Source organism: Homo sapiens, chromosome 6, assembly GCF_000001405.40.
Source record: "Homo sapiens chromosome 6, GRCh38.p14 Primary Assembly".
NCBI classification, from domain to species: domain Eukaryota; kingdom Metazoa; phylum Chordata; class Mammalia; order Primates; family Hominidae; genus Homo; species Homo sapiens.
The window spans coordinates 83,062,277-83,076,514 of record NC_000006.12 but is presented as its reverse complement, the minus strand read 5'-3'; the positions used below and the strand labels follow the sequence as shown (position 1 = coordinate 83,076,514).

The window sequence follows — 14,238 nt, the reverse complement described above, 5'->3', positions numbered from 1 at the left end:
TCTTTTGAGATGGAGTCTGCTCTGCCTCCAGGCGGGAGTGCAGTGGTGCGATCTTGGCTCAACCTCCCAGGTCCAAGCGATTCCCTTGCCTCAGCCTCCTGAATAGCTGGGACTACAGGTGTGCACCACCACGCCCAGCTAATTTTTTGTATTTTAGTAGAGACCGGGTTTCACCATGTTGGCCAGGATGGTCTCAATCTCCTGACCTCATCATCCACCCACCTCGGCCTCCCAAAGTGCTGGGATTACAGGCCTGAGCCACCACACCCGGCCTCAATATCTTTTCATATGTTTGCTGGCCATTTATATATCATCTTTGGAAAAATGTCTATTTAAGTCCTTGGCCCATTTTAAAATTCAGTTACTTTGTTGTTATTGAACTGTAAGAGTAGCTCTTTCTTTATATATTCTGGGTATTAGCCTCTTATCAAACACATGATTTATGAATATTTTCTCCCTTTCCATAGTTTGCTTTTTCACTCTCTTGTACTCTCTGATGCACAGAAAGTTTTAAGATTAATACAATCCTATTTTTTATTTTTGCTTTTATTGTCTGTGCTTTTGCTGTCATATCCAAGAAACTGCCAAACTCAATGTCATAAAGCTTTTCTCCTATGTTTTCTTCTAGGAGCTTTATAGTTTTAGGTCTTATCTTTAGGTCTTTAATCCATTTTGTGTTAATCTTTGTGTATGGTATAAGATATACAACTTCATTTTTTCACATAGGGATATCAGTTTTTCCCAACACTATCTGGTGAAGAGGCTATCCTTTCCTGACTGAGTCGTCTTGGCACCCTTGTCAAACACTGTTGGACCGTATAAACTAGTGTTTATTTCGGGGCTCTCCATTCAATTTCATTGATCTATATGTCTGTTTTGGCCAGTACCATACTATTTTGATTACTATAGCTTTGCAATAATTTTTAAATGCATTTTTTGAGAGCCACCCTTTTATTCCTTCTGTTTCAAACACTAAATCCTAACTTGACCTGACAAGTACCTACTTATCCTTCAGGTCTCAGATTTTATCCCTTTTGGGAAGTCTTCCAGGACCATTCCACCATTCCCCTAACACTCACATATACACCTCCTTCCTGTGAACTCCCATGACATGCTATACTTCCTCTATCATAGAACTTACCTTGCTTTATTGTAATTGAACTGTGACTCCAGGGGTGGTAATCGCTATAACAGAGAGACCTCATCTGTCATTTTAGCTCTCAAATCCCCAGCTCCTAGAAAAGTGCCTGACCCACGGTAAACAGTCAATAAACATTATAAAAATTGAATGACAATAGAATATTCTCAGTTGGTAAAAATAATGAATTAAGTGTATACATTGATTTTTAAAGTGCTAACATATATTAACTAAAAGAAGCAAGGCACAGAATAGTGTTTATAATATGCTATCATATTAAAAGAGGGAAAATATATATTAATTTGCATATGTACAATACATATCTGAAAGAACACACAACGAAACTAAACATTACTTCCTAGGAGACAGGTGGTAACTGGATGGATGAGGGCCCAGGAAAAGGAGTCTTTTCATCATACAGATATTCCTTGACTTATGGCTTATATCCACACAAACTCATCCTAAGTTGAAAATACCGTAAGTTGAAATGTATTCAACATTTCATTTAGCATTGCTGGGCTCAAGCAATCCTCTGGCCTTGGCCTTCCAAAGTGTTGGGATTATGGAAATGAGCCACTGAGCCTGGCCAAAATTTACTATCTTAACCACTGAGTGTATAGTTCAGTAGTGTTAAGTACATTCACGTTGATTCACTATAATTTACATCATTACTTAGCCTAGCCTACCTTAAATGTGCTCAGAACACCTATATTAGCCTATAGTTAGGCAAAAATCACCCAATATAAAGCGTGTTTTATAATAAAGTGTTGAATAGCTCATGTAATTTATTAAATACTATACTGGAAGGAGAAATCAAAATGGTTGTATGGATACTAGAAGTCGAGTTTTTATTGGATGTGTATCATTTTTGCACGAGTGTAAAGTTGAAAAGTCATAAAGTCAAACTACCATGATTTGGGGACTATCTGTATACTTATACTTTTAAAATCATGTGAATTATGCCCCATTTATGGTAATAAAGGGTGAATGAATAATGTCCCTAAAGAACATGAAATAGCAACTGTGTAAAATGTGGTATTTCCTCCTTTCATCTCATAATAAATAACAATAAATAAATAAATAAATAAAATCTGTATCTTAAGTGCTACGTCTCAACTCAGAATCATACCCCCCTCCCAAAGGACCATGGAGACTAAGAATTTGTCAAAGTGCTTGATTTGTTTGGTACATTAATTTTCAAGTGCATTTTAAGTTAATCTTTGAATATTCTTTCCAAAATCACAATGAGCTGTGTATATACTGCATACTGAGTAAATAGGTACTGTTTACGATTTAGATAGATATTCACATACTGGCTTCTAACATGGGTTTCAATGATCCTCACTTCCTGATATTCATGCTCTTGGGCAATTCCTTACCACATGGAATCACTGCTGGCCTGTGAGAATAATCAATATAACACTGCAGAAGTAAAAGGCCATAACAGACACTGTAGCTCCCACTTTGATATCTCTAGAATCACTCATTCTGGGGCAAGTTGGCCTCTATGTCATAAGGACACTCAAAGCAGACCTGTGAAGAGGCCCATGTGGGGAGGAACTACATCATTCCTCTAAAAGCCAGAAACAACTTGCCTTGCCAGTCATGAGTGAGCCACTTCGAAAGTGAGTTCTCCAACTGCAATCAGACTGCAACCTCATAAGAAACTCAAGCCAAATAACTTCCCTATCCCCTCTGACAAAAATTGTGTGAGATACTGTTTTAAATCACTACATTTTGAGATAATTTGTCATGTAGCAATAGATAACTTAACAACAGTTTATTCCCAAATAATATTTTCATTTTTTCAACCACAATCTCTGAAACTTAAAACATAATGAAAGTTATCAGATTACGTAAAATTGGCAGCCTCAAGTTATGGAATCAGGTAGGTTTGGGGAACAGTGCTTTGAGGACAGCCTTCCAAAAAATGTCAGAGGCCATATTTTGTTTCTGGAACCCCTCATTCAGGCTCAAAAGTGAACTGCTGGCCAGGTGTGGTGGCTCACACCTGTAATCCCAGCACTTTGGGAGGCCAAGGCGGGCAGATCACCTGAGGTCAGGAGATAGAGACCAGCCTGGCCAACATGGTGAAACCCTGTATCTATTTAAAAAATACAATAAAAATTAGCTGGGCATGGTGGCACATGCCCGTAGTCCCAGCTACCTGGAAGGCTGATGCAGGAGAATCGCTCGAACCCAGGAGGTAGAGGTTGCAGTGAGCCGAGATCATGCCACTGCACTCCAGCCTGGGCAAAAGAGTGAGAGTCTGTCTCAAAAAAAAAGAAAAAGGAAAAAAAAGTGAACTGCTACTTGGTGGTAATGCTGTATATAATATGGAAGTCATTCAAACACTTATTTCTTCCAAAATGTCAGAGACTAACTTTAAAGCAAGTACTGTACTATGTTCTATTTTTTCACAGGCCAGCAGGAGAAAAACCTCTCCAGGAAATTTTTAAACTGTTAAGCATGTATGGAAAAGCCACTGTGCCAGCTGCATCATTCTGAACAGAAGCAAAAAGCATAATCAGTGCTCTGCGATGGCATTTGGGGTATATAAAAAAATTCTAGCTATGTAGAATATTCGATAAAAATAACACATATTCTAAAGGTTTCAGGTAGCTGATACTTTATAGTACCTTTTCATAATATAATAGCACAATCAAAAGCAACTGAAAAATGTAGGGCTATTTACCTGTATAATTCAAAGGACTAAGATTGCAGTATTTTTATGATTTTCTGATTATAGTCAGCTGTCACTTCTAAATGATGACAATTTACCTATATTGCTTCTGTACTGCTCCCTTATTTTACAGTGAGAAGCAGGAAAGAAACCACTTGTTTGTGAAATAAATGCTATGCATCCAAGATGGCTCTTTACTTACTTCCAATTTTTTAGGTTGTATCCCAGAACCTTATATTAACAGGAATCTCACTCCACCCTGGACTACAGAGCCCCGTCTCAAAAACAAAAACAAAACCCAGGAATCTGACCTCTTGGTGAGTAGCAAATGATTGTGTGTACTGATAAACTTATCACCACTCAGGTTAATTTTTTTTTTTTGGAAACCGTTAACACCAAATGAAAGGGTCTATTTACTCAAGCTCTTTGTTCATGAACACGAAATAACAGCAAATGTTAGGCTCATAATATGGATATATGCCTATAAGTAACTCCAGCAACTTTAAATACAAAATGTATTTTACAAAATAAGAGCAGGGAATTTATTTTCCAGTATGTTCATACGAAACTCCTTCCACAGGAGAGTAGAAGGTGTCATCTCAGGAGGAAAAAGTCTAGAAATGTCTTCGGCAGGATTAAAATATAAAAATATAGCTATATAAAACTTAAGTGATGAGAGAAAAAACTAAAGGAGATAGGAGATTATTTTAACTTTATTACCTCATCTACTCATACAGGAGCTTTGCCAGATAAACATTATATTAACATTTCATCACTCCTGAATCAACAGTCATCACTTTGTCATATAACAGGTTCCCACTTGTTTTCTGATTTAGATTTTAGATTCAAATGTTTATCTTAAGGCTAATGTACCCTAGTAGGATGTAACATCAGTAACATTCAGAACATTTTTGAAAAAATAAAGACATATCTGATTCAAGAATATTATCTTTGTACTATTTTTTAAAGTAACTTTTTTTACTATATTTTTTAAGGTAATTGTAGTACACTTTTTAATTTACAATTAAGGCTTTGTTTCTCAATTATTGCACAGATAAAATTCTAAGGAATTTTCAAGCACTGATTAACTTAGTATCTACAAAAATTTGGGCCACCAAATGGAGACGTGGGATGATTTTATAAGATCCGAGGGCAGAGCTAAGTGACACTGAATTAAATGAGGAGGGGCCGGACACAGTGGCTCATGTCTGTAATCCCAGCATTTTGAGAGGCAGAGGCGAGGCGGATAACCTGAGGTCAGGAGTTTGAGACCAGCGTGACCAACATGGCGAAACCCTGTCTCTGCTAAAAATACAAAAGTTAGCCCGGTGTGATGGTGGGTGCCTGTAATACCAGCTAATCAGGAGGCTGAGGCAGGAGAATACCTTGAATCCGGGAGGCAGAGGTTGCAGTGAGCTCACTCCACTGCACTCCAGCCTGGATGACAGAGTGAGACTCCATTTCAAAAAAAAAAAGGTTACTTCCTCTTCATTCTCTTTCAGTTCCTCTGACTGTATCAAGAAGAAAGTCTCAGTTTGGTGCCAAGATGTTAACACCACTGAAATTCTTGCCAATCTCACTTTTAAACAAAGGGCAAGTTTTAGGCTTAGAGCCTCCTGCAGGCAATAGTTTCTAGTTAGAAATTAAGGGGACTTTGATTTTCATTATTTTTACGTATACGTCCACCTTCTGTTTATGGCAAGTGCCACCTGCTTTTTACTCAAAGTTATTCCAAGTTTCCTTTAAAATATTACTTTAATAATCACATTGATATAAAGAAATATTAATAACTAAACAGGAAGTATGCCAAACAGGAAGATATGGCCAAAATTTTGAAGATGATATCACAAAGACTGAAGTTGAGGAAATATTACATTAATCCATTTGGTCAACAAATAAGTGCCTGCTATATGTTTGCCACTGGGTTAGCCACCACAAAGAACAGAGAAGAATGATGAAAAAAAAAAATGTGAAAAGGAAAGTCAGAAGAGGAGGAAATTAATTCAAAATGAGGTAATCAAAAAAAGGTTCACAGGGTGGCATTTGAGCTAGGTCTTAAAGGTATAATTTAGACACTCAGAAACAGAAGAACATTCTCAGAGAGTAAAAGTATAACTATATGTGCCTGAGTGGTGGCATCTTCCAAATCTTGATTGTGGTGGTAGCTACACGGGTGCATATATATCTACTAAAACTTATTGAAATGTACACTTAAATGAATGTACATCAGTATATATAAATTTTTCCTTAATAAATTTGATACTATATAATTGACCAATGCAATGAAAGGTCATTGAGATTTCAGGCTTGGATAGCTTGGAGAGGAGGAAGTAAATACAATAAAGGAAAAAGGGAAACCGCCAGTTAAAGACAAGGGTATCATATTTTCATACAATTCTCAATAAAAACTGTTAACTATTACACAAAAAATATTAGCTTTATATTTCTACTTAATAGTTTTATTCCAGGGAGATAATTTACCTGAATTAACGCTTATCTATTAAAATTACATGTTCTCTTCCCACCTCTCCTATCTGCAAGCAAAATTGTGCATTAACAGCATTCACCCTAAGAAAGTAATAAAGAATGAACAGAATATCCACACTGGTGGTGTACTAGTGACACTTAACAGACTTTAGCAAAACAGTTTAAGATTGTGTTCAGCACACATCCTGTTTGTAAAGCAATTTAGAAGTAACTGTCTCAAAATTTGTGTTTTAGCCTTTAGCTCTTTTCCATGATATAAGCTCTTAAAATAGGTAGTTATTACACAGTAAGCACATTTTGGGTGGCTTCTACCATAATTTCATTTTAGGAATGCATGACTATAAGGAGAAATCATCACAGCAAAAGTGATGCCATTATCAACAAGTCTTCACTTGTTGGAACCTCAAAATGCCATTTTGAATAAAATCAATAACTACACTCCACCATCAAATTCAAAACATGAATTATGGTTTTAAAAAAGTCAAAAAACCAGAAAGAATAAGATAAGTCTTCTGCCAATAATTAAAGCATTAAGACTCATGGGAACTTAAGTGTATCATTAATATTTTACTAAGAAAAATATAATTTTTTTTATACAAGTGAGTTGCCACTAGATCTTCATGCTCCAAAAAGTTTAAAATGACAGCCAAAAAATAAGCCTAATGCATGGACCTTTACAGTTGAAGAGGACTCAGCTTAAGTACAGCAGTTTTTAAATTTATATTCTATGTAATTATATTCTAAGAGTTGTTAACCATTTGGCCATGAGAAAATAGATCAGGTAAATTTGGGAATGCTAGGATAACCTTCTGGAGATTTACATGTATCAGCATAACAGTAAAGGTTTTGAAGAGTCCTGCCTTTATAAGCAAAAAAGTTAAACCTAGTTTAACCTAGTGTGCTCCCAAATTATTTGCCATTGAACACTGCTTTGGGGAAAGTAAGCCTATTAAATGGTTTTAGAACACTGTTCTGGGGGAAACATCAGTTTGGAAAACCCTGGTCTTTTCAAATTTCCTTAAACAATGACAAAACCGAAGCCTGGAGATCACACCTGGTTAGTAGCAGATTAAAGCACTTGAATCTAATCTCTTCATTCCCAGGCCAGAGCTCACTCCTTTACTTTAACTACAAAATAGGACTTCTTTGAATGTATACAAACATTTAACTGACAACACTTACCTTACATTTAAGATTTGGGTTATGGTGTCACATTTTCTGGTTTGTGTATTAAATCAGGTGTTTTTAGTTCCTTCAGCACTAGGTACCTAATAATCAAGCCCACGTGGAGATTTGCTACTGCTTAACAATTACAGAGAATGATTTAGTTATCAGTTGTGGCCGAAAGTAATCACTAAAATAAAGCATTTAGACTACTCGTGGTTTTAATTTACTCATAACTTCAGTCGGCCCACCTAAATCACTGTGTTATCTATCAGGTGGTGAGTTACTTAGCACATAATGCCGACGTATGTTATTCACTGTAGACCATATTAATACCCACAAACAAAATTAAAATGTGAGAACTTATGTCTGCATAGACAATGGCCAACAACATCAAAACAGATTTTTCTCTCTCTACAGTTCAGGGCCTATTTGTCAGGCAAACAGTTTCCTACATTTTTGGTAATTATCATTTTTTTTGACTGCTTTAGCTGGAGTCGAAGTCATTTTCCCAATCTTTACATTTCTCAAACGCCATAGAACTCTAAGATAGTGTAAAAATGTTCAAACACAATTTACTTAGCTTAAGAAAAATAGTTGTGTGCCATTCCCCGCCCCCCTCAGGGTACAGGAATGGAGGAGGCCCGAACAAGTGACTATTGTTATGTTGCAACTTTAAAAGGCTTAGGAATCAAAGGTGATAATTGTTAACAACACCCGTTTGACTCTTCTGACTTCCTCTTAATAAACTTCGGTACTCCTTTCTAAGCCCCACGGAGAACATGAACCATCGCGGGCCTACGTGTCTCCTCAATGCTAAAAGAACCCACCAGCCGAGAAGGCACAACGCCTCGATTCCTTCAACAAAGAGGGTACTCCGCACGCCTCCATCGCACAGGTGCGACCTCTGCCCCAGCCTTGCGCACCGCTCCGCCCCAGCAGGGGAGGCTCGGGACCTGTCCCCGGCTCCCCGGCCCCGCCTCCGGCCTCCCTCACCTGGGGCCGCCCTCGCGCCTCTGCCCGGCCCAGGCCCCGGCCCCAGCCCTGGCCCTCCAGTCCCCGCGCAGCTCCCGACTCCCCGTAAACCAGAGGGCGGCCGACCAGCTTCGCAGCTCCTGGCGGGGCCGGAGCGGCAACACCCCCGACGCCACAGCAGTCAGACTCGCAAGGCGTCCCCGCGGCTCAGGACCTAGCCGGGCCGAGAAGGATGCTCGGAGCCGGCTACCAGCCTAGCGGCCGCACTGGGGGCAGGGACGCTTTTACCTGCTGCTGGCTCGGCCGCTTCTCGCCGGCGCAGCTCTCCTGGCAACCACGGCAGCTACACCGAGACCGGGAGCCGAAGGGCCTAGTGACAGCTCCCAGAGTGCACCGTGCTCGCGCCCACGCCGGCGTCGACGTCTGAGGCCTTCGATCCCCGCCCCCGATCGGCTTCCTGCCTCCCGGCGCTAGCTGTTGCCACAGCGCCCTCAAGTGGACTGTCGCGGGAAGCGGCCATGGCTACCAATTTCAGGAGTGGCTAGAAAGGGGGTTAGCAGATGTTTTCATTTGAAGAGATAATAGGAACTGAAAACAGCTTTTAAATATTATTTGAATAGTTTCTCAATATTTCATATGAGTAACCTGCATCCCAGAGAGGTTAGGAGACTTGTGAAGTTAGGAGACAAGTAGTTGGTGTCAGATTTGGAACTATTTTGAGTCTAGAGCTCTATCAATCATATCTAGTTACTCCAAGGTAAATTGCACCGTTTTGCCAACACCATACCGTAAAAAAATGAAAGTTTTTACAAATACGTAACTAAATATATAAAAATCTTTTAAGCTAACAAAACAATTATAAAGAGTAAGTTGTGCTACGGAAGTTGTATATTTCAATATAATGTGTCAATATTTAAGCATTCAATAGCCTCGGGTACTAAAGGTGGAAGATATGAAGAGTTGAAATCATCATCCTTCAAATAGATGAATTATTTGAGACCAAATAATAGTAAACTTTATTTTTTTAAGTGAGTTGTTGCTTCCATCTATAACTTCAAATTATTGTGATAGATATAATAATTTGTGCATCAACATAATAAACTTTAATCACCCCAAATACTGATTTTAGAAAAATTGTCAAGCTATTATCTTAAAATATATGACAGGATTTATTTATTTAGAATTTATTTATGGTTTAGGCTGGGCATGGTGGCTCACACCTGTAATCTCAGCACTTTGGGAGGCCAAGGTGGGCGGATCTACCAAAAACAGAAAAATTAGCCGGGCATGGTGGCGCGTGCGCCTGTAATCCCAGCTACTCGGGAGGCTGAAGCAGGAGAATCGCTTGAACCCAGGAGGCAGAGGTTGCAGTGAGCCGAGATCGCGCCACTGCACTCCAGCCTTGGCGACAGAGCGAGACTCCGAAAAAAAATAAATAAATAAAAGCAGCTCCTTGTTTTTAAGAAGCCCTATTGTAATTCTACCCGGTCTTATATTTTAATAGTTCTTCATTATAAGTATTTACATTATACCAGGTTCTTTACTGTGTCAAACTTTTCAAAACTATCTTCTGGTAGTAAACTTCTCCAACTTCTCTTAGTTTTTACTTTTGTGAAAGTGAATAGTGGAGCTGTACATACGTAATCATTCTCATCTTCCTTTTTTACCCCCTAAAAAATGGTTAGTCCTGATAGACTTCAGCCACACTCTTCTGCATTAGGTAACAAAGAACTTCCTTATATTTTTGCACCTGTTTCAATTTTGGAGCTATCCTGTCTAAGTTGAGAAGCAATGGCAAGTCAATTCTTGAAAATTTTGTCGCTTTAGATAGAGGCTAACAAACGACCCTTGTTCATAAAGAGACCAAGATAAAGTGGGTTTGGGGCCGGGAATTCTGTTCTTGCATCTCCTGGGGACAAAGCCCACCTGTAACACTTGCCTCCATCATCTCCCTCCCTTCGAGCTAGCCAAAGGTGTGAACCCTGGGTCTGATTTTTATGGTCATTTCCAGGGATGCTAACGCGCCAAGTCACGCTCATAAGAAGCAGAGTGGGGCGATAGCTAGCCTCTCGCCGCCCACCTTTCTCAGCACTCTGGGCCAAAGCCTGGTTTTGAAAATGCGCGCCCCGCCCCGGCCTCCGGGGTCACGCGCCTTCTCGGTGGTGCACTCTCCGGCCGGCAGGTGGCGCTGTGAGCTGGTAGGCGGCGCCAGCCCTGCGATCTGGCACAGGCGCCTGCGCCGCAGCGGGGCTGCCGCTGGTTGGTCCGCACGTGGAACCTCTCCTGGTCCTGTTGACCCGGGCCCCTCGGAACCTCCAGCTTGGTCCGGTCTGGGACTGGAAGCCTGCCATGGCGGCTTCTGCGGCGGAGACGCGCGTGTTTCTGGAGGTGCGGGGACAGCTGCAGAGCGCGCTTCTGATCCTGGGGTAAGAACTGGGATTCTAGGCGCAGTGCCCAGCTCGCTTTACTGCTGCCCGGGGGTCGGGGGCTGGTGAGTCTCTCTCTGTACGAGGGATTTTGAGTTTCTTCTTTCCAGTTGCGTAGAGCCTCTCGATCACTCAAAGTGAAGCTTTCCCCTGTAGTCGGCTCCGCCACTCCCACCCCTACTGACAGTGTGGGTATCTTTGGGGAGCTTTTTAGAAATTCAGGGTCTCAGCTCCACACCAGACTTATGGAATCAAAACTTATATTTTAACAAGATTTCCAGGAATCAAATGCACATTAAAATTTGAGGAACAGTGATGTAAAACACTGTTGGCAGTGCCCGGCGTTTCCAACAAAACAATGCAAAAAATGATTTGTCTGTCTCTCTTCGGGATCCTCCTTACTGGATCAGTTCCTATGTGAGCTTCTTGTTTTGTAAATAACCTCGGGTCTTTTCGTCCAAAACTGCTCTTTGCAGAGAAACCACACAATCATTCAATAAACGTGAGTTTAGTGAACCACTAAGACAGGTTGTAGACTTCTTACTGGAGCTCGTTCATTTATTCATATTCTTCCTTCCAGTGAGAACGTCAAACTTGTTATTCGCTACACAAATAACTTTTAGGAAAAATGTTCTCTATTTTGTTTGACAGCAGTTTTAATGATTTGTGGTCCCCTTGTCTATTCCTTTGTGATCGCTGTTTCAAAGAGAGTAAGTTAGAAGTTAAAATCCTGAGAATGGTATTACACGGTGCCACAGGTAGATTGATGCTTAATTTTTTCCTCTTCCCTAAATCTGCCAGATATCTGGTGTGGCAATTTGGAATATGGCGTGAGAACTGAGTTCAAATGCTAGCTTCCTCACGAAATTAGAATAATTTAATCTGAATTTCTTCAATCTTGAAATGGGAATAATAGTACTCTGAATGTATTTCTTTTTCTCTTTCAAAATTTATGAATTTGGACAAATATCTCCAATTCTGGTGCACCTTGTAGAGTAATTAGGAACCCAAACCCTACCAAAATAAAACAAAAACCACACACACACAACAAACCCTCCCTTCCTCTCATGCAGGGGCCTTTCACAGTTCCCTTGGACTACTCTCCTTTGTTTAGGCAAGGTACCCGGGTGGCTCATGCCTGTAATCCCAGCACATTGGGAGGCTGAGGCGGGCGGATCACGAGGTCAAGAGATCAAGACCATCCTGGCCAACATGGTGAAACCCTGTCTCTACTAAAAATACAAAAATTAGCTGGGTGTGGTGGCGCGCACCTTTAGTCAGTCCCAGCTACTCAGGAGGCTGAGGCAGGAGAATGGAGTGAACCCGGGAGGCGGAGGTTGCAGTGAGCTGAGATCGCGCCACTGCAGTTCAGCCTGGCAACAGAAAGAGACTCCGTCTCAAAAAATAAAAAATAAAAAGAAAAAAAAAGAAACCTAACTTTGCTGGACTTAGTTTTGCCATTTCTTGAACTACTTATAAATGGATTCATACAATATATACTTTTTTGTTTCTGGCTGCATTCCTTCCATAATATTTTTCAGATTCACGTTCCATCTATGTGGCTGCATATATCAGTAGTCCATTCCTTTTTCTTGCTAAGTTTTCCATTGTATGAATATACCACAATTCATTTATCTGTTCTCCTATTGCTGGATGTTTTTCTTGTTTCTGGAGTTTGCTTATTATGAATACAGCTGTCATAACACTGTTGTATAAATCTTTTTTTGGACATACATTTTCATTTCTTTTTAGGTAAGTACCTAAGAGTGAAATTTCTGGGTCATAGGATAGATGTGCATGTTACTTTGTGAGAAATTGCCAAACAGTTCTCCAAAGTGATTGTACCAGTTTGCACGTTCAACCAGAAAAAAAATGAGTTTCAACTACTTTACATTTTGACTTACATTTAGTATTATCAGTCCTTTTAGTTTGAACCATTCTAGTGTGTGTAAAATAGTATCTTGTGGTTTTAATTTTCATTTTACCGATGACTAATAATGTTGAGTGCCTTTTCACTTGCTTTTTAGCAATTCATATATGTTCTTTTTAAAAGTATCTTCTAATTTTTTTTGCCCATAATCAGATTATTTGTCTTGTTTAATTGAGAGTTCTTTATACTGTCTCAAAACAAGAGCTTTCTCACATAAATGCCTTGTGAATATATGACTATTCTTATCTGTGACTTAACTTTTCATTTTCTTTTCTTTTTTTTTTTTTTTTTTTTTTTTTAGACAGCGTCTTGCTCTACTGCCCAGGCTACAGTGCAGTGGTGTGATCATGGCTCACTGCAGCCTCAACCTCCTGGGCTCAAGCAATCCTCCCACCTCAGCCTCTGGAGTAGCTGGGATACAAGTTGCATGCCACCATGCCCAGCTAATTTTTGTATTTTTTTGTAGAGATAGGGTTTCACCATATTGCCCATGCTGGTCTTGAACTCCTGGACTCAAGCGATCCACCCACTTTGGACTCCCAAAGTGCTGGGATTACAGGTATGAGCCACCATGCCCTGCCTCGTTTTTTTGATAGTGTCCTTTGATGAACAGAAATTTTAATTTTAATGAAGTCCACTCTATCGTTTTTTTATTCCTTAAGGGTTAGTTTTTTTGGTGTCTTAAATCTTTGCCTACCTTAAGGCTGTGAAGATGTTTTGGCAGGTTTATTTTCTAGGAGTTATATCGTTTTAGCTTTCACATTTTGATCTGTGATCATGTTGAATTCATTTTTGTGTTTGCAGTGAAGTAGGGATCAAAGTTCTTTTTTTGGTATAAGGATATTCATTTATTCTATCACCATCAGTTGAAAAGGCCATCATTTCTCCCATTAAAATAACTCAGTCTTCATGAGAAATCAGTTGACTATACTGTTTGCATAGTGTGTCCTTTCTACCTTTTTAACCTTTCTTATGTCTTTCTGTATAAAGCAAAAAGCTGTAAAAATACTGTATTTCCCTAAAAATAGCATAAAACTGTATGCTAGTTTTAAAAATATATAGTTGGGTGATTTTAAATCTGTTCTGATGATCTGTGTGTTCTAATTAAAATGTTTAGTATATTTTATAGTTAATTTAAATATTGGTGTTCTTGTTCCTAACTGCTATGGTTTGGATGTGTTTTGTCCCTATGTTTTCTCACTTTGATCCCCAATGTGGCAGTGTTGAGACATAGGGCCTAGTGGGAGGTGCGTGGTTCCTGAGGGCAGATTCTTCTTGAATAGATTAATGCCCTCCCATGGAGATGGTTGGGTGAGTTCTCTCTCAGGAATGGATTAATTCCTGCCATAGTGGGTTGTGAAAAAGAGTCTGGCTTCCAAAGTTTACATTCACAGATGTAAAGATCTATTTATATTAAGATATCTTAGCATTTTGG

At 39.6% G+C, this 14,238-nt stretch overlaps 2 protein-coding genes across 65 annotated transcripts in view, besides 4 other annotated features; one reads left to right on the top strand and one right to left on the bottom strand.

Annotated features, from left to right (window-relative positions):
* DOP1A (DOP1 leucine zipper like protein A) overlaps positions 1–8,844 on the bottom strand; it is a 103,680-nt gene extending 94,836 nt beyond the window's left edge. For 44 of the 49 annotated variants that reach the window (NR_169791.1, NR_169790.1, XM_017010559.2 and 41 more), the window contains exon 1: positions 8,736–8,844. The gene's annotated coding sequence lies outside the window, so the exon portion shown is untranslated. Of the gene's footprint in view, positions 1–8,302; positions 8,405–8,735 lie in introns of those variants that run through there. The other 5 variants (XM_047418428.1, XM_047418431.1, XM_047418436.1 and 2 more) reach the window with 1 other exon arrangement.
* Positions 5,261–5,320: an enhancer, noted in NCBI's record as "active region_24782". NCBI's record gives its function as "activates an Ori minimal core promoter by ATAC-STARR-seq in GM12878 lymphoblastoid cells {active_cell/tissue: GM12878}" and the evidence as "EXISTENCE:reporter gene assay evidence [ECO:0000049][PMID:35858748]".
* Positions 8,346–8,615: a silencer, noted in NCBI's record as "silent region_17355". NCBI's record gives its function as "represses an Ori minimal core promoter by ATAC-STARR-seq in GM12878 lymphoblastoid cells {active_cell/tissue: GM12878}" and the evidence as "EXISTENCE:reporter gene assay evidence [ECO:0000049][PMID:35858748]".
* Positions 8,786–8,935: an enhancer, noted in NCBI's record as "active region_24781". NCBI's record gives its function as "activates an Ori minimal core promoter by ATAC-STARR-seq in GM12878 lymphoblastoid cells {active_cell/tissue: GM12878}" and the evidence as "EXISTENCE:reporter gene assay evidence [ECO:0000049][PMID:35858748]".
* Positions 8,966–9,035: an enhancer, noted in NCBI's record as "active region_24780". NCBI's record gives its function as "activates an Ori minimal core promoter by ATAC-STARR-seq in GM12878 lymphoblastoid cells {active_cell/tissue: GM12878}" and the evidence as "EXISTENCE:reporter gene assay evidence [ECO:0000049][PMID:35858748]".
* The window catches only part of UBE3D (ubiquitin protein ligase E3D), a 185,040-nt gene continuing 181,475 nt past the window's right edge, over positions 10,674–14,238 (top strand). For 14 of the 16 annotated variants that reach the window (NR_146809.2, NR_146808.2, NR_146807.2 and 11 more), the window contains exon 1: positions 10,674–10,873. Coding sequence is in view for 8 of the 16 variants with exons in the window: in XM_017011458.3 (XP_016866947.1) it covers positions 10,797–10,873 (77 nt within the window). In the remaining 8 variants the exon portion in view is untranslated. Of the gene's footprint in view, positions 10,874–13,269; positions 13,363–14,238 lie in introns of all 16 variants that reach the window. The other 2 variants (NM_001350602.2, NM_001304437.2) reach the window with 2 other exon arrangements.